This window comes from Homo sapiens, chromosome 2 (genome assembly GCF_000001405.40).
Source record: "Homo sapiens chromosome 2, GRCh38.p14 Primary Assembly".
Taxonomy (NCBI): Eukaryota; Metazoa; Chordata; class Mammalia; order Primates; family Hominidae; genus Homo; species Homo sapiens.
Genome location: NC_000002.12, coordinates 177725640 through 177746061, shown reverse-complemented (window position 1 = coordinate 177746061; position 20422 = coordinate 177725640). Strand labels below are relative to the sequence as shown.

Here is a 20422-nt window from a genome sequence, read left to right as displayed (position 1 = left end):
GTTATTTTCCTTTGTTCATTGAGGCTCAGGTCTGACTCCTGGGAGACTTCAAGGGCAGCAGTCCAAGGACTATTGAAAGGCATTGAGGCCCCACAGGTAAGCAGTGGGGTTCACAGTTCACAGGCAGGTGGTTATCAACCTCTATGGAGACTTCAGCAGAGGACCTCTTGGGCTCCCTAGTCTCCTCAGCTGGCAGCCATGGCTGATACCATCCCCACCTCTCAGGAGTGGAGGAGGACTCAGCCCGCCTGACAAGCTGTAGTGGGCAAGATATACAAGAGGGCTGGGAAAACAAATACACTCACATATGCTGTTGCTGTCCTCCTGCCAAGAAGGACCACTGGGGACAGGGTGTTCCTAGAATTCCTAGTGCTCTCCAGCATAAGGCCTGGGCTCTGATGTGGCCCAGAGAGGCCAGCATCTCACACCAGCCTCAGAACCCTTCAGGACCTGGGCTTTGCTGGCACTCTCAAGGCCCAGCAAGCCTGCCAGTGGAGTGGGACTAGCCCTGGCTTCCCACCCTGGCATCTCACTGGCATCACCTGGGGAATGTTTAAGAAATAAGGATTCTAGGTCCCGTCCTAGACTTACTGAATCAGACTCTCAACGTGGGGCCTGGAAATCTGAGTTGATGCTTTCTCTAGGTGAATCTAAAACAGGGCTGAGTAGCAGAGCCACTGATTTAGGGTGGAAGCTGATGCTTCTGTCTAGGGGAATAGGAGGCCATTTTAGATGTGTTTGGAACAAATATGCCCTGGTAAGAGTTCTGGCCACTGTGTTTTATACCCAAAATGCTAACTCTCCCAAAGACCTGAGATATACTCAGTTTCTCCTTCTTTTTCAATATACCAGTTTCTCTCTCTTTCATGCCATGATTTTTTGTGACATGGTCTTCTATAGCTTGGGATAAGAAGGAAAGGTATTTGTGAAAAGGAATGAATATCCTTTATTACAAACACTGGACCTAAAAATGCTGGGGCAATATAAAATGAGGAGGGCATACAGAGAAAATTGTTATGATAGCAACTTTCACTAGGTTATGTTGCGGAAAGAAGCACTGCAAAGGTTTGTTTCTAGCTCTCACTATATTTGAGCGATGGGTTGGCTGTGGCTCTGTTGCTCCTTCATCCAGGATTCAGGCTGAAGTAGAAGCCCCATCTGAAACATGCCATTCTTATGGCAGAAGGAATAAAACAAGAGAGCTAGCAAAACCGTATGATAAACCTATGGTTTCTGCTCCGTGCATGTGCGTGTGAGAGAGCATATATCAACCCACTCACATTCTATTGGCCAAAGCAAGTCACGGCCAAGCTTGAAGTCACTGGACAGGTAAACATCATCATTGCTAGGGAGGCCCTGGGTCACATGGCAATGCATGCTTATGTAGAATCCTCTCACATGTAGGAAAGTGGATACTGGAAATAATACCATTCATCACAGCCATTGAGCTTGAAAGCATCCCTTTCAGAAATTATCCTCATTAAGAGACTCAGTAGAGAAAACCACCTGATAGATAGTGATTGAATAAGGTGAACTGGACCCTTGACCTCCTACACCTCATGGCTGGTGGTATCTCAGCACTCAGTGATTCAGGCAGGTGCGAGATGTCCTTTCTCTTCCTGCCCTCCACAGAGCAAACAAGCAAAAGGAATCCGAAAGAAGTCTGAACATACTTTAGATTCATGTTGATCTCTCTAAAGTCATATAGTAAAAAAAAAAAAGCATGAAACAATCAGAGAGGTCCAACTGGTTGGCACACTCTCCCCCAGGCAGATTATCACAGACAGACTTCAGGGGCACCCTGCAAGGTCACTAGAGCATGTCTCTTATCCTCCTACCCCCAACTTAATAACTCTTCCTCTTGCACACATCCCTTTATTCCCTTCCCCCAATACCTCCAACTTTTTCTGTTTTATAGCTTCAAGGTTTTCTCCTCCCCTCTGTTTCCTGAACTGGAGTCCCCATTTGGTCTTGACTTTTAAGTCTCCAGCCCTACTATTCCCTTTCTTGCTTGGCTTCACTGCTGGGCAGGGGCAGAGGAGGAGAGGAGGGGAGGAAAGCCCCCAGGTGGACCCCAGGTGGTAGCAAGCTTATCTTTCTTTCTGAGTGATACAGATACCTAAAAAGCAAAAGTTATCTCACCCAGTCAAGGCTGGCAGAGATTTTAGGGCCTTCTGCTCACACATTCTCTCATTTCCAACTTGAATTTCATCCATAGCCCCATTCAATCACCCCTTCCTGATTTCTGGGTGTTAGAGTTGTAAAACTGTCCAAGTTCTTACTCTACCCCACTCCCTACCTTTTCCCTTTAGGGTTATAATATAGTAATAACTTATTGCAGATTCTTACCAGCAAGTTAGTTAACTCTCTAAGCCTTATAAGGGTGTGAATTCAACAAGAAACTAACTGCAGGTGGTAGCCACTTAAAAAATGCTAATTCACTTCCTTTTAATTTCTCTTCAAGGGATCTGAGTGAACTATAACTTCTTGGCCATCCTAGACCAAGTGAGGTTGATTTTCCTGACATCTCTACCCTGTACCCTTTTATCTGAGAGTTGTGCAGGCATTTCTACCCTGTGCCCTGTCATCCAATGCTTGCACAGTTCAAGGCATACTGTTGGTGCTCAGTGAGCACTTGATGACCCAATTTCTTTCTCTCACCCTTCACTTTCCTGTCCTTCATCTTACAAGTTTCATGCCCTCTTTATATGTCCTTGTTCTTATCTCTTTTCTTTCACAGCTGAAACCAAGAGAGCAGTATTTGCACATTTAACCTTTGTGTGGTGCTAACAATTAGTGATCCTATAACTAACAAAAACCATGAGAGTTTAACAGAAAATAAGTACAATTATTTAAAACTTGAGTTTCACCCCTGGTTTCTGTAATCAGCATCTGTATTAAGCTTTGATTCTTTCCCTTTCCTTGTCCCAAAAGAGAGCTAAAGAAAAATCATTTTCAACAGCTTTATTATCCACATCATTAAATCATGTTGTTGTTTATGCAGAAGCAGGAGGCGAATTCAGAAACACATTACCCACGAATTCCAGAAGCATCAGAGTAGGAAAAGCAGCTGATATTTATTTAGCTGCTTGATCATTTCGCTTGTGCTCTGGGACTGGTCCCTAACACTTTCCTCTTGCTGGCTCTGCCACCTCTCCTCTTAGCTGGGGCCTCCCTTTTCAGGATGGGGATTAAAAGTCAGAACCTCCATTACCTCTACTGACCTTTGGAAATGGAGCTTTTCTTCAGACCTCAAGACATTGCCTCCTTTTACTTTCCTAGCCTTGTCTTCCTCCTGAGGAAAGTGTTCTCAGAGAAAGTCCCCTTTCACATCTGTCCATTGAATTTAGCTAACATTTAGGGACAGCCTGCCAAGGGGTGGACTCTCTAGCTGGTACAAAAATGAGGCAAACACAGTTTCTGTTCTGTCCGGCCCTTCAGAGAGTCCCTGTCTTGTGGGATGCATAGATACCTGCATAGCACCTGGCAATGTACCTGACACATAGCAAGCCCTCACTAAGTATTTGTCAAATGAACTGAGTGAGTGGTTGACTGCACAGCAACTTCGATGGAGAGCAGTCTATGGTAAATGCTGTAGGAGAGAAAAGGACAAAATGTAAGGGAAGATCGAAGTGACAGACATTGCCTGTGCTTGGAGGCACCAAGAAAGACTTCATCAGGGGCAATAGAGAGGATTAGAGCTGCAGGCCAGGGGTTCCGTAGAGCTAGATGGGGTGAGACAAACTGGGATTGTCATACTAGGGCTCCCCGAGAAGGGAAAATCTTTCCTGGACCTTTTCTAAACAGGATAGTCATGTATAGTTTTCTCTAAATACAGGGAGTATAATGATAGGAACCTAGGCATAGTAAGGGAGGGTGCACTCAACAAGATTATTGGACTGGAGAAGCACTCCACTGCCAGCTCTTCACAAGAGGGTCTCCTTCCCTGGCAGACTGTGCAGCCTGATAATTGCATTTGACAAGGTTACAGTCCTCTGATCCTTATCTTTTTTTTTTTTTTTCTTAAGAGACAGTGTCTCACTCTGTTACCAAGGCTGCTGCAGTGCAGTGTTGTGATCCTAGCTCACTGCAGCCCTGAACTCCTGGGCTCAAGCAATCCTCCCACCTCAGCCTCCCAAGTAGCTGGGACTGCAGGCGTGCACCACTGTGCCCGGCTAATTTTTTTTCTGTACAGATAGGATCTTGCCTAGGCTCATCTCCAACTCCTGGCTTCAAGTGAATCTCCTTCCTTGGCCTTCCAAAGTGTTGGGATTACAGGCATGAGCCATCACACCCAGTTCTTATCTTTAACTTGGACTTGATGTATCATGTTTTCCTCCAGTGTATCTTGGATAACCCCATATTGAATATATTTCTTTCCAAGAGTGAATATGGTGCAGTTCCCTAAAGAGAAAAAGCCTTTCTAGGTTGCGTTCTCTAAGGCACCAAGGAGAGAAAGAACTAAAATTGTAATCAGGACACTTTAAAGGGACCACCATTTTTGGGTCTGACATGGAACATTTATTTTGAATTTCTAGATATTTAGTGCTCAATTCATTTGCAATAATGATAACTGTCTGTTATGGACCAAATTGTTTCTTCCCCACTCCCAAATTCATATGTTGAGGCCCTAATCCCTAGTACCTTAGAACGTGACTGTATTTGGAGATAGGGGTTTTAAAGAGGTCATTAAGGCTAAATGAAGTCATATGGTTGAGCTGTAATCCAATGACTAGTGTCCTACAAGAAGAGGAAAAGACACCAGAGGTGCACATGTACAGAGAGAAGGCCGTGTGAGCACGTAGCGAGAAGGCAGCCATCCACAAGCCAAGGAGAGAGACCTCAAGAGAAACCAAACCTGCCAATACCTTGCTTTTGCACTTCCAGCCTCCAGAACTGTGGGAAAATAAATTTCTGTTGTCTAAGCCACCCAATTTGTGGTATTTTGCAGACTAACACACTGTCTTTTTCTGAGGGCCTCCTATGAACCTGGCACTGTGCTAAGTATTTTGTCTCACTGAAGCTTTTCAATGACTGTAAGATAGTTATCATTGTGTTCCCTTCTCAGAATAGGACACTGATGCTCAAGGCCACAGCTTTAGCACGCAGCAAACTCAGATTCAAATGCACATCTGTTTGGCTCAGGAGGTTATGCACTTGGCATCCCACCAACCCACATTTATTAATTACTTGCCATGAGAAAAGTACTAGGCTATGATAATTGCTGACATATGAGAATCTGAATCCTTTCCTTATGGAACTTATGAATGATGAGAGACAGATTCACAAGACCACAAAAATAAATAAGTTTTTTAAAGCTGCATGGAAGAAAATCTCTGGAAGCAATAATTCCATGCTGTGCTGCAGTGGATCTAAGCTAAGAGGCATTCAAATGATTGTGTGGGCAATATAGGGTAGTGGTTACAAACACAGAGGGCAGGGCTAGATTCATTGGGATTGATTTCTAGTCCCAGCAGTTTTCTAGTTATGTGACCTTGAGAAAGTCGCTTATCTTCTTAACCTCAGTTACTTCATCTGTGCTATGGAGGCTAAACTGGGACTAGTAATAGAATCTTACCCATGGGGTTGTTGCAGGATTAAATGGAATACTATAAAGCACTTAGCACAATGCTTGATACACAATATGTCTTAATAAATGCACCATGATGAAAAAAAGTTTCTAATGCGTGTTCCACCCAGCACTAACAAAACTAGCCAACCTGTCTAAACATGGTTGAGTTCTTAATTTTTTAAATTAAAGCTCTTAGTGTTGTTAAATTTATGAATATCTTCACTGACCTTTGTATGTGGGTTATTCAAATATAATTTCATTTCCAAGGTAGTTTTGCTCTGTCCACCATATTCAGCTTAAGTCAGATACTAACATATTTCACCAACAACACAGTCCAGGCAAAATTCAAATGTTTGTCTGTGTGGAATAACAGTCTAACAGAACTGAAGACAGAATGGACTAATAAAATATCTGAGAGAAGTCAAAGAGCAGATTAAAAACGAAGTGTGTACATGAGATGTGTGCATGTATGTACTTGTGTGTGTATTCAGGAACACCACCATCCAGCCAAGAGTAAATCCAGGTACAATTCAAGACAGGGAATTGTGGCTCAGGAATCAGGACACACACCCCTCTTTGCCTCATTTGATAGATTACTTCCTCACTGCGAGTGATGGCTTTATTCAGCCCTAAGAGTAGAAACCTCTTTCATAATGCTTCATGTGCTTTTATGGCAAAAACCAATATAAATATTTACTGGATTTACAAGTAAAAGTATATAAATTCTTATTTATCTTGCTGCATAGAGGGACCGTGAAAAATATGTGGAAACTAGAGTCTGTTTTTCTTTAAGAAGACACTCAACTGAATGTTGAGACAACAGCAGAGAGATGCTTCATTTCAGAAGTGACAAAGAGACTCTACGATACTTTTTGATGCACAGGATGGGAAATTGTTTATATTGAATGCATAAATTTTGAAACATTTCTTCTGACCAGCTCACTGGAAGGTGATGATTGGGTAACTAGCCTCATGTGTCACTGGTGACAGAGTACACTCCTATCTCCAAATAGCAGGCCAAAATATGGGAGCTTGGGGTACAGGACAAGATTGAGGAAGAGCATGGGATCCAGTTAGTAACATGAATAGAAAACCCAAATAAAACCCCTCTTCTGGCAGTGGCTTTGCACCATCCTCTTCATCCTCAAGGTAGCCTACTATTGCCATTAGCTACTAAGTCTAATCCCAAGGTTCCAGTTTCACCCTTCACTGGCTTTGCTGCACGGTGGAGTGCAGCACGTTGTAACAGGACCATTGGCACTCATCACCCCAGGACAAGCAGGGCAAGATCAGGTTAATTTTGAACAAAACGATAAAAACAGGAAGTTGAGCCTCCAGTTCCCTTTGCCCTCTAACATTGTTCTCTACCATTTCACAGGCCTTGAGGCTTGATGCCCCTTGCTGTCTTTTGTGCGTTAAGAGCTTGGTTCCATGTTAGTGTTGGCTTGTTCCTTTGACTTATTGTTACTGGCAATGCTTTGATAAACTTGACATTTTAAACTGCAGAAACAAGGGAATATGATGTTCATTAGGCTTAGCTGTTTGACACTAAAGTGCTAAACCAACTCATGTGGTCTCTATTATTAGTTTACGAACCCTGGTCCATCTCTAGAGGCCGATGTTTCCAGACAGCTTCATTTCCTGCTGGTGAACAAGTTCTCTCATTATCTTCCTTCTTTTTCTGCCTAGTCACTGAAACAGTCATTGAATTGTTGTCTCATGCCTGTGTGCTATCAAGCACCATGGAATATGGAAGAAGGAATAGTGGTTGTGCCCTCCCTCTCTCTGGTGAGGCTGCAGCAGGGAGGGTCAGTGAGGACTCAAGAAAGACCCACAATGCAGCAGGTTGAGGTTGATGTAGGCAGGAAGCCATTAAGATTCAACCGAGCATGTGAGTTAAGAAGCAGTATACAGAGAGCATAGTAGGTCTGAGCAGAACCAAGACAAAAGGCAGCAATCTCTGAGCCAGAAAGATCATGCTGGACTGGCAGCATCATCTTTGGGGAATTCGTATCTTACGTCTCTAAACCTTAATGTGTAATGTAGTCAACACAAGCTTAACTGCCTCTTGTCTCCCCCAAGAGCACTTCCTTCCTTCCATCACTTTCCTGCTACTAAGACATAGAAAGAAGGACACTACAGGAAATTCATGACAAACTCACAGAGCCACCATGCTGCACTCACACATCCACCCTGCAAGGACCTACCTTCTTCTTGGAGGGATGAAGCAGGCTAACCTCAGAGTCACCCAGCTGGTGAGCTCAGATTGGAACTTGAAGATTGGGGTCACAGGGTTAGGGACTCCTCTATGTGTCTTCTACTAAAAACTGCCCCACTGATGTATAAAAAATGGAGCACCGGATTCACACAAACTTAGAAGGCAACTTGACTCACCTATATTACCTGATCTTGGATTTCCATGTGCACGTGTATCTAAGTGTGAGGTAATCACCAGGGTGGTTGGCAAAAAGTTCACACAACTCAAATTCACCAGGGGATATTGTGGCATGGTTTGGGAAAAACTAGTAAGATGACTTCCAGCAGGATTATCAAGCCTTCACTCATTCATCTGATAAATATTTAATGAGTTTCTCCCATGTGCCAGTTACTGCCTACAGTGGTGAAGACTGCAATGAGCATTTAGGACACAACAGTAAACAAGACAGACGTAATTCCTATCCTTGTCCATCAGACTTTCAACAATAATTACACAACATATTAATGATGGACATCGTTAACCACTGCCTTGGCTCTCAGGAAGTTTTAAGCTGCTTCATTTCAGCTTCCCAACCTAGTTCAGGTGTAGAAGCCTTCTCCACCTTCCACTCCCACCCTCCCAGCATTCCTGTAGGTTGTAGGTATCCAGAACCCTGCCCCTCTCTCTTGGCTTTTTTTTTTTGAGACAGAGTCGCCCAGGCTGGAGTGCAGTGGCGTGATCTCAGCTCACTGCAAGCTCCGCCTCCCAGGCTAATGCCATTCTCCTGCCTGAGCCTCCCAAGTAGCTGGGACTACAGGCACCCACCACCACGCCTGGCTAATTTGTGTGTGTGTGTGTGTATGTGTGTGTGTATTTTTAGTAGAGACGGGGTTTCACTGTGTTAGCCAGGATGGTCTCGATCTCCTGACCTCGTGATCTGTCCACTTCAGCCTCCCAAAGTGCTGAGATTACAGGTGTGAGCCACCGCACCCAGCCAATAATGTGATTTATTTTATTTTATTTTATTTATTTATTTATTTTTATTTTATTTTGAGGCAGAGTTTCACTCTTGTTGCCTGGGCTGGAGTGCAATGGCGTGATCTTGGCTCACCGCAACCTCTGCCTTCCGGGTTAAAGCGATTCTCCTGCCTCAGTCTCCAGAGTACCTGGGATTACAGGCATGTGCCATCATGCCCAGCTAATTTTTGTATTTTTAGTAGAGACAGGGTTTCTCCATTTTGTCAGGCTGGTCTCGAACTCCCGACCTCAAGTGATCCACCCACCTCGGCCTCCCAAAGTGCTGGGATTACAGGTGTGAGCCACCGCACCCAGCCTCTTTCTTGGCTTTATTAGTGTCTTTAGGTATTGTGTGTTTGGTGACTAAGCAAGGGTGCATTACCCAAACAGGTGTCATTTCCATTGGGTGGTCAGTGGTTGAGGTGCTGGATGCTAATGAGCTAAAGTCCTTACCGCTCTTCCATGGGAGGAAGAGCTGGTGAACTCTTGAGTGCAAATAATGAGAGGTTTCAACTTAAACATGGGACAGTCCATGGATTCTGATTCAACTGTCACTTAGCTTATGGGAGCTCCAACATGGGAGTCCTTTGCCTCCATGGGGGTCCTTTGCTAGGTGCATCCACTTTCTAGGTAAATGCACAAGGATCAGCAGCCATGCTCCCAGGGGCTGTCTCCTTCCCTCTCTTTCCTCATTCCTGTATCTCTGTGAAAGGGGGAAATTCTTCTTCCTCCTCCCTTTCTTTTTTTTTCTTTTTTTTTTCTTTTAGATGGAGTCTCACTCTGTCACCCCTGCTGGAGTGCAGTGCTCGCTGCAACCTCCACCTCCTGGGTTTAAGCAATTCTCCTGCCTCAGCCTCCTAAGTAGCTGGGATTACAGGTGCCCACCACCACACCCAGCTAATTTTTGTATTAATTTTTGTATTTTTAATAGAGACGGAGTTTCACCATGTTGTCCAGGCTGGTCTCGAACTCCTGACCTCTGTTGATCCACCTGCCTCGGCCTCCCAAAGTGCTGGGATTACAGGCATGAGCCACTACGCCTGGCCCTTCCTCTGTTACTTATCTCCCCCGGGAGCACGTCCTTCCTTCCTTCTGGTTCTAGAGTACTCTCTCTTTTTCCCTGGTTCTTTCAAAATAGATAGACCCATTAGACCCAGAACCCCACTCAACCGAAAACAAATTCCTTTTCCCTGGAGGACACAAAGGGTTGCTTGGTCTTCAAATATTCCCAGGAGAGGAAAGAAAGGGTTCGCTGTTGAGTGCAGCAAAGAAAGGGAAAAGGAAACACTGACAATTGCTTTCCCATACGAAAACGGCCCAAACATTTGCCACCTGCCACAACTAAAATTGGGACCAGAGCTTCAAAGGGGAAGTTCTGGGAGGTTTGGCCATAGAGAATGGAGACTGGTCACTACCAGGGGTCAAGGGAGCCAACCTGGCATGGACAGCGAACAGAAGTCAGTCCTGGAGTCACAGGCAAACCAGGCGCCTGCACTGTGGTCCAAGGCCACTGGAGCTTGGCAAAGCGGATGCCCTTTACTTGGATGAACTCAAGTTTTACAGTTGTTTAGGCAGCCAAGGGGTCCAAGCCTATTAGAGGAAGTCTTGGATCTCTGTGAACAAGCACTGTTTTTTTGTTAACAATGGGGCCCTGTCTGTGCCTCCTGGTATTGCACCATCTTCAGGGGAGATTGGAACTCTACTCTGTAGTGCTGTTCTCCGCCATGTTTCCTTATTCTCCTGGTGAACTTGTATTCACCCTCCAATGCCCACATTAGATGATCCTCCTCCATTGTGCTTCTTTGCATCTCATACGCTCATTCCTGTTGTTGCCTCTGAACTTTATGCTTCTGGTTTTTTGGGGTTTTTTTTTTCCACGAATCATTGTTTTTTCTTTCTTCTTGGGTAGGCCATGAGCATCTCAGGAATGGAGTCCACGGCTTTTCTTAGGTTTTGATACATTCTCTATGACCTTTAAACATTTTTTTATCATAGTAACTATTTTTAACTGTTTAAATTACTAAATATACTTTATAAAGCTGAGGTTTAATGACAGTTTGGAATTAAGGCAGGAACGTGAAGCCGAATGTATTTCACTAAACTCTCCCGGGGGTTCCTGTGGTGCCCCGTGTTTCCCCCATCGCAGCTCTTAACCCATACTGTTCTGTAATTGCCCGTTTGCTTCTCTGTATCCTCTGACAGGCTGCGAGCACAGGGACCACACTAATTTTACAAACATAACTACAGCATATGCCAGTGCCTGGCGTACAGTTAGATGCACAATACATATGTACTGAATTAAAATGGATTAAACTGGGCGGTCTCCTGGGGCAGAGGACAGAGCTTGACTCTTCAGAGTCTAGTTACCAAAATCTTCTCCACTCACCCTATCCTTCTATGGGGCTGCTATCAGTATAAAAATCATAATGAGCATAACAACAACACACCAACATCAAGCGCCATCATGCCAGGCACCGTTACTTACTATTTCCTATTTCCAAGCACTGTGCTAGGCTCTTGTGTGCATTATTTCATTCACTCCTCACAACAGCCATGCAACACAATTTTGTGATTGTTTATACAAAGAATGCTCAATCTGAGGCTTACTTTAGTTTCTTGCCCACTGCCACTCAGCCAAGTAAGTGTTAAAGGTAGGATGAGAGCCCATATCTGTCATGAAGAGTGTTCTAGGCAACTACAAGGCAAATTTAATGAATGGCATCAAGAGAAAACAATTGCCAGGAGAATTTAAATCCTACTTTTTTTTAAGAGATGGGGTTTCGCTGTGTTACCCAGGCTGGAGTGTATGCAGTGCCTATTCACAGGCGCGATCATAGTGTATTGCAGCCTCAAACTCCTGTGATCAAGCAAAAACTTACTTTTTCATAACATCGCTGTTCTGCTAATACTATTTATCTCCTCGTTTGTCACCTCCTCATTGTTTGCTCCCCGAGAAGACAAGTTATTTTTTCAGCATGGTCTTGGGAGTATTCGAGTTGATTCTGGGTTAGCTACAATCAACACAAAGTAACAATTTGGGTTCATTCCAAAGTCAGCTCTGAATTTGGAGACTTTCCCAAGGAGTTTTATATAGGTAAAGACAAAAACATTGTCCCTCACATAGGTCCAGGTTGCTTATAATAAAAAACGGATTGAAAAGCTAGTCATCTGGATATAAATCCCAAACTCCAGTCATGGTGCACCCAAGTTAGTTTGCATAATACAGAAAGGGGGACCCTCGCTTGGCATAGGCCCATTTTGAGAGGCAGTGTGATGGTTAGGAGCCAGTCTCTAGCACAAAGCTCCCCAGGTTCAAATCTGCCTCTGACAATCACACTGCAAATTTGACCAACTTATTCATTATTTATTTCAGTTGCCTCATCATAACATGGAATTAAAACTATTCCCAAGCTTTTAGGGTTCTCGTGAACATCAAATGAGTGAGTATATGCAAAGCATAACACTAAAACAGTATCTGGCACATAATAAGGGCTATAATTATATTGGCAAAAGAAAGAACTTTGCTGTCCCTTCCACATCACCACAGCTCAACCTCCTGTCTCCATTAATCCCAGAATCGTAAGGCTCCTGACTACTGCTTTTTGTCCAGAGGATTAAGAGAGTGAGTGGGCTGGAATTAGCAACAAGTCAATTTTCCTTTGAATTGCCAAGGCTGGACTACCACCCACTTTGTTGTTTCTTCCCATTTTCTGAGCATCACAAAATGTAATATTCATGTGTCAAGGGATCCAGGATTGTATTTTAACATTTTATGGCCTCTTTGTAAAGCTACCTTTTCAATTTTAGAGGAGGCAGTTTTATGACTCCCTTTGATAACCACTTAACTGTTAAGACCCAAACAAAGAAGAGGAATGGTCAAAGGATATCAGGTGCTTCCAGCCAGCTAGAGTCTCACTTCTTGAACATTATTCAAATTAGCTCCAGGACTCATAATTCTGTGTTTTCATTTATTGCTGCAGTAAAGTAAATGGTTCTTTTATCCAAATGTTATTTTCTGGCTATTAATTCAGTAGTTATTTTGGATTGTGGCACTCCTCTTTGATTTAGGGATATGACACCTTATAAATATTGAAAAGTTGAAGACTGACATTTGGAGAAATTGACTTTGATTTGTTTTGTTAATATCCTATGGCTAGAGTAATTATAGGTTTGGAAGATGCAATCTCATTTTCTGTTTACTGGAAGCAATGGGGAGCACTGTGTCTCTATAACAAGGAATTTGTCAATGGAAGGCTATTCCCAAATCTTTTATGCTTGTCTGCTCAGGATACATACTGCCTGTTACTCTTCATAGTTTTCTCCAGAACCTGCCCTTGAACCCAGCAATGTGGGGATGAAAACTACCCAGACTTCTCAAAATAGCTGAAAATGGTCATTCTTGAAAGGCTTGGAACTTTCTTTCATCTACAAGTGCCAGCAAGGGTTTATGGCAGGGCTTAGTGTGATCTACACACCGGTATGATTTAACCATGGATCAATCAACCTATTAGGGGAAAAAAAGACAAGGTCAATAAGGATGGGTCTTGGTGAACCAGAGGTCATTTTACATTTTCAACGTAATGTTCTTATTTCCTTTCCATTAACACTTCATAATGAAAAAATTCCTATATTCTTTAATTTTTAAGATAATTAAGTGGATTTAGTGCCTTTGGAAGGTAGAGGATTTATAATGGTATCAGGGAATACACTATTAATAATCTACAAGACAGGGGCCACCTGGAGTGGAGTAGTGCTGCCTCTATCACCATTTCTGCTTCTTTGGTAACAAACTGTAACAAGGTTCAGCCTCCTTTGCCAATTCAGAACTAAACTTCTCTCCTGAGACCAGAAAGATTTGTGTCTTTTGGGACAGGGCCTCTATCTCTTGAAAAGTGTTTTTCCCACTAACATTTGATTTTGAATTGGAACAAATTACCACAAGCACAGATCTTTCTGAGACCTTGGTATTCTCTATTTACAAACCCTCAAACACATGATAGGAGTAAAGAATTGTTTGGATCTTCCCTAAGAAAAATAAACATGGCATCTGCCTCTAAGATTGTTACAGCCTAATAAGTGAGTTCACTGGCACAAGTGAACCCACAGGGGCGCAGAATAAGAGAACGAGATCTACATGGTTGCAGCCAGGTGTGCACATAGAAACAAAGGGCCTACAGACCAAAGGCTGGCTTCCCTCTGAGTTCTCCAAGCTGACCATTCTAGGTATCATTTAATAAAGATAACTTCATTTATTTTTGGATAAAGATGATAGATTAACTACACTCATTTTCTTTTGTTCTCTCCCCATGCCCTATTAAAACAAAAATAAAGGTTTTTTTTAGTGCATAAATTCTCAAAGCCAAAGAAATTGGGAAGGGACTTAATGGTGACAAAATTTTGGATGCTAGAAAACAGATGGATGAATAGAAAGTAATTTAGCAAACTCAAGACAGCCAAAATAACCTAGCAATGGGAAAAGCTGAGAGGCAAGCAGATTTATACCATAGACTCCTCCCCACAGATAGCTCAGGAATTGACTAATTAAGTACCTTTGGAAGTGCAAATGAAGATGGGCTTATAAACAGGAAAACAGAGAGTCTAAGAAGCAGTTAGAGCCCCATATCCTTTGTTCTACTCCCCCACTCCATAAAGACTAGAGGCTTGTCCTCTGGAGAGAGTATAATCTTGGGTCTTTGGGTTAGGGAATCGTCAGTGCAGAGGGTGAGGGTGGGCGTGCAGGGTGAAAGCAGGAGGACTGAATGAACAGGAAACCAATGCTGAGACTCCTCCTCCAACCTGCTTCCCCGCTAGGCTCCAGCCAGAAGACTCTTCTCTGGGGATTCTGAGTAGCTAAAGAGTAAAGACACAAAGACACTGATATTTGGTGGCTTCCCCAAGGAAACAGGTCAGACACATTCCCCCTACAGAGAAGCCCCCAGAAGCTCCAATAGAAACTTTTAGAGCCCCACTTTTACACAGGAGTGGAAAACTAAAGATTATCAGGCCGCTAAGGAAAACCTCTAATATTTCTAAAGCCTCTAATGTATTAAAATAATTTCTTGAAAGTTGGCTGATGAAGACAGAGATGAAACGATTGATGAATGGAACAAAAATGTGGTATATGCATACAATGGAATATTATTCAGCTTAAAAAAAAGAAAACCTGTCATATGCTTTAACATGGATAAACTTTGAGGACATTATGCTGAGTCAAATAAGCCAATGACAAAAAAGACGAATATTGCATGATTCTACTTGTAGGAGGTAGAGTAATCAAACTCATAGAAACAGAAAGTAGAATGGTGGTTGTCAGTAGCTGGGAGGAGGAGGAAATGGGGAATTGTTTAATAAGTATGGAGTTTCAGCCATGCAAGATGAAAAAGTTCTAGAGATCTGTTGTATGACAATGTGCATATAGTTAACACTACTGTACTGTACACAGTACAGTATTTTTACCACAATAAAAAAGGAGAGACTAAAACAAAGTACAGAGAGTGAAGCCAATTATAAGAAGAGAAGAAAATGACAAATAGAATTGTCATTCACATCCTCAGGCAGGTAAGAGAAAATATTGTATCCGTGAAATAAAATTAGGGTACTATTAAAAATACATAAAAAGGAATATCCAGACGACAAAAGAAGAGCTCTTAGAATGAAAACCGTGGTATTAAAATCTCAACAGTAAGAAGAAATTTCCTAGAAAGCAGAGCAAAAAGGAAAAGAAAAAATATGAGAAATGAAAAACATGTAAGAAAAAGAAAATAAAAACTAAAGGAAAAGAGAAATGAAAGAAAGAAAAAGAAAAGAAAGACAAACCAGTCCAAAGGTCAAGTTAAGGGAATTTCAGAAAAACAAAGAGAGGAAGAGATCTTCAAAGAGCTTATTTTAAAATGTTTTTCTAGAATTAAAAGACATAATTTTCCAATTAAGAAAAGGGCTTACAACCAAACACCGCATGTTCTCACTCATAGGTGGGAACTGAACAATGAGAACAGTTGAACACAGGGCGGGGAACATCACACACCGGGATCTGTCGTGGGGTGTGGGGAGGGAGGAAGGATAGCATTAGGAGATATACCTAATGTAAATGACGAGTTAATGGGTGCAACACACCAACGTGGCACATGTATACATGTGTAACAAACCTGCACGTTGTGCACATGTACCCTAGAACTTAAAGTATAATAAATAAATTTTTAAAAAAGATTTAAAGTGACAACAAAAAATCAAAATGCAGAGGGGGATGGAATTAAGTATCTTTTTTCCCTCTGTTTCTTTTTTTGCAATCAAAATTAAGATGTCATCTTAATAATTTATTATAGCTAATGATAAGCCTTTAAAATAATTTACTACAGCTAAAGCTAAGCCTCATGGTAACTACAAAGCAAAAACCTGTAATAGATACACTGGAAAAAAAAAGGGGGAAAAAAGAAAAGGGCTTACAAAGTGCCTAGGATAATGAATGAAAATAAACTCACACCAAGGCACATTTGTATGACATTTCAGAACTCTTGAAGCAAAAAGATTCTACAAAAACTCAGTTGGAGGGGGGAGTTATTTTCAAAGTATAATAGCACAGAATAGCTTCTGACTTCTCAAAAGTAACATCGAAAGCTCAAAGAGCAATGCCTTTAACATTCTAATGGAATGATTTCCAACCTAGAAATCTTACCTAGGCAAACTATTAATGAAATGTGACAGTAATACAAAAACATTTCAGACTGCACAGCCTCACAAATCTACCCCACACCTTTTCTTGGGAATCTGTTAGAGGATGTGTCTCACCAAAATGAGAGGAGAAAGCAAGAAAGAGAAAGATGTGGGCTAGAGAAACAAAAGAAAGAGAGAAAGGCATCCCCACAATTATGGTGAAGGAATATCCTAGGATGAAAACTACACATCAGACTTATAAGATAGTTGGTCTAGACTGGAGAAATGCGGGAAGTTCCAGGAGTGATTTATTCGTGAAACTGACGGAATGCCCAAAGCATATGAACATTTTGAGAAGAGACTTAGACAACTGATAGAGAGTTTAGGGGTTGAATTAATTGCAAGTACATGGAAAAACTAAGCTCCACCTATGGAGGAGCATAGAGTTGGGAAGCAAGGATTAATTATGTGGTTTCTGGAATGCTTAGAGCAGCCAGAGTTGGATTGAATCTCTTAGCCAAAGTAAGTAGCTCCAGGGCATAAATTACTGTCAGGGTAATTTAAACCCAGTGAATAGATAGGAATATGAATACAGAATGGTCTCTGATAACCTGAAAATATAAAAGTGACTCCCTTACCAAGAGTGATCCAAAGAATATGGTAAACCCAATGAAATCACCATACAAATGATTTCCAAAGATTTTTTTTCTCCTCTTTAGGCTCGTTTGTGGGCAGCTGATTGACAGTTGCCTAACATGGGTGTTTTGAAAACCTTGAATATGTATGACCAGTATTGTAATTATGTTGTGATGTTTATATAGAATGAAGCTAAACAAGAAAGCAAAATTGATCTCCTCAGTGAAACATAGGCTTATGCTAAACCTTCAGATATCTCTATTTTATTAAGGCAACATATTTCCCACCAGAGATGTGCTGTCTGATCCTTTCGATCATTCTGAATATACAGAACACGTGTGTAACAAAGAACACGTGCAAGCTACAGGATATAAGGATATAAGAAACAAGGCAAAGTGGTGTATTCCCTTCTCCTTCTCCTGAATAGCATCAATTAAAATTCACAGCTGCTGGCTGCCCAGATGTTTCTTGCATTTAGTGCTCTGTAATATGCATCAGAATATATTGTATGACCACAGTTTCCATAAACTTGACAGTTCTGTATTATAAATTCTGCAGGCTAGATCCAGTGCGTGTATTTTATCTTCAGATTAGTTTCCCTCCCCCCGCCCCCAACCCTGCCCCCACCTTCATTTGCTTGGGGCATTTGCAGTTCAGAAACAAAAGACATTTACAGCTCAGAGTTTAGCTGTATCAGGGTGTAAGTGCAGGTCAGGCCTGATTTATGTGGCACTTCTGATAAGCAGGGGAGGAGAGCAGGATGGGGGTTTGGGAAAGCTGGTGAACTTGGCTTGACTTATGTCTTTTGCTTTTCTAGGCAGCCAACATCCCTCTGGTGTCAGAACTTGCCATCGATGACATTCATTTTGATGACTTTTCTCTCGACGTTGATGCCATGATCACAGCTGCTCTCCGGATGTTCATGGAGCTGGGGATGGTACAGAAATTTAAAATTGACTATGAGGTAAGATGTCTGTCTTGGGTGATCCAAGCAGTTCACCTGGGACAACGTGTTAGCCACTCTGAACCACTGGTTTCCCAAATACAAAATGGGGATGATAATCCCTGCCCTGCACACCTCATGGGATTACTGTGAGAACCAGAAGAGATGTTTGTGGAAGGCCTTTGATCACTGAGGGTTACTCAGATATAAGGCACCATTGAGATAAGGGTCCACTAGAATCACTTACAACTGCCTGACGCACCCTCTCCCTCCCATTTCAGACACTGTGTAGGTGGCTTTTGACAGTGAGGAAAAACTATCGGATGGTTCTATACCACAACTGGAGACATGCCTTCAACGTGTGTCAGCTGATGTTCGCGATGTTAACCGTAAGTGTGCTTAGTGATGGTGGAAGATCATTTCTCATTCGTAGGAACTGGCAGGCCTTCTCCTTTACATTTCCATTTCTCTGAAAAATTACCATGTGATCATTTTATGTTGGAACTTACCTACCCTGGTTATGAAAGTATATATGTGCCAGCAATTTCTGAGCTTGAAAGCTGTAACATTGTTGACCCCTTGAAGCCAGTGTAGCCTTGGAATGATTACTTGAGCTTCTGTTCAGTATTTTTTCTTGGTAAACTTGTTCTTTTACAAAAGAAATGCTCAGATTTTTAAAGTAATCTTTTTGCAGAGGAAATGTAGTTGAGTAACAGAACAAAGAGATCACTGGATATGACTCTCTTGGCTGGTGGAAAGCCAGTAGGGAGGTGTGAACATCACCCGCAGGAATATGGAAATCCTGAGAGGATGCTTATTTGAGACAATGCCCAGGGAGGCCAAGGAGAAAAGAGGGGTAAGAGTGCGCACTCTCCAGGTTTAGGGCTTACTTGCCTTAAAATCTCGTCCCGTGGGGTTTTAACCCAGTGATGGTGGCCAGTCTGTTTCACGGAGATATCTAGTGCAGCTGGGCAGATATAAGCCTTGGAATTTAATCTCAAAGCAAATGTTTGTGGCAAATATTGAAACAAATCCTCTATTTACTTCTTCTGGCAAGAAATAAGGCTTTTTTTGGCATAATTTCTACTACATTGTTACACTATCATCAAGTACAATGTTTTCTGGCTTAAATATGTTGGTTTCTTTGGCTTCATAGTTATATATACACACATGTGTACGTACATATCTGTGGGTGTGTGTAAACATATTGCCATACAAAAAAAAAGAATGTGAGTCTTGGACTCTTCCAACATAAAATAAATACCTTATATTTTTGCACCCAGACTAAAATTTAAACACAAAATCAGAACGCCAAATGAAATGCATTTTCCTTTGGTCCAAATGAACAAAGACAATTCTGCTTCTTTCTCAAAAAAAAAAAAAAAACTCTGCCTCATTTTCTGCCTATTAAAATTTTACTCATCCTTTAAGGCATTCATCTAGTGCCAGTTTTTCTACAAAGTCTTCCCCTTTCTCCCAAATCATCAATAATTACTTCTTTCCCTGTACTGTATCTAGTACAACACATCTTTCTTGCTACTGTGTATTTTAAGTTACAAATCTGTCATCCTCCTATAGAGTAAGCTGCTGAGGGAAGAGATCATTTCTTGTTTTTTCAACAGCATCTACTTATTTGCTCAACCACCATTTATTGAGGGTCACACCAGCACCCTGCACTCTGTCATGTACTTGGTGGGTTTTCAAAAAATGTATGTTGAATTGACATGAGCTGAAATGTGCATCTAGCATAAGATGGGGCCAGAATGTCTTTTATACTAGGGACTTGTGCTTTGGGTCCTCAACTGCTTAATAAACAGGCAGACTGGCCTGGGAAAACTGGACTGATTCCATTCTTCTGTTGCATCCACCGTTAGAGGAGTGAGCCATCAAGTGAGAAAGGAAGGTGCTTTGAACCATGAGGCTTAATAGCTCAAGTAACAACCATTGCTTGGAAAAAAAAAATCTTCATTTTGTTTTTCCATATCCTACCTCAGTAAACAAGGTATAATGTTTTGTGTACAGATTTCATATGTCTGGCCCACAGAGGACATTCAATAAAAAACTTTTTAACCCATTATTTGGGAAAACCTATGGATTTATGCGAATTGCCAAAATAAGTAAGTAGGAACCCTGTTCAATGAAGGAAAAAGAAATGGCTGTGACATTTTTGAGTTAGAAATGTCAAGGACAGAGACAGATTTTTATAACAAACCTTAAAATAGTTGGAATAGGGGAAACTGGCAAGAGCAGCAGGGTCACAGTGGACACTTAGGAGCAAAAGGAAATATATATCCAGTTTTCTGCAGTGGGTATTTCCATTATATGGGCAATTTTGATCCTTTCCAAGAAATTGAAGAGAATAGAATTCTTAAACTATGTCACCACAATGGGGATGCTCATATCGTCA

General features: G+C 41.9%; 1 protein-coding gene across 4 annotated transcripts in view, besides 1 other annotated feature; it reads left to right on the top strand.

Moving 5' to 3' along the window:
* The window catches only part of PDE11A (phosphodiesterase 11A), a 485096-nt gene that overhangs the window by 362278 nt on the left and 102396 nt on the right, over positions 1 to 20422 (top strand). For all 4 annotated transcript variants that reach the window (NM_001077197.2, NM_016953.4, NM_001077358.2 and 1 more), the window contains 2 exons: positions 17890 to 18036; positions 18297 to 18404. In NM_001077197.2, coding sequence (NP_001070665.1) covers positions 17890 to 18036; positions 18297 to 18404 — 255 coding nt within the window. The remainder of the gene's footprint in view (positions 1 to 17889; positions 18037 to 18296; positions 18405 to 20422) is intronic.
* Positions 14079 to 14758: an enhancer, noted in NCBI's record as "OCT4-NANOG hESC enhancer chr2:178596032-178596711 (GRCh37/hg19 assembly coordinates)". NCBI's record gives its function as "activates a minimal SCP1, AML or CMV promoter by ChIP-STARR-seq in naive H9 embryonic stem cells {active_cell/tissue: H9 hESC(naive)}" and the evidence as "EXISTENCE:reporter gene assay evidence [ECO:0000049][PMID:30033119]".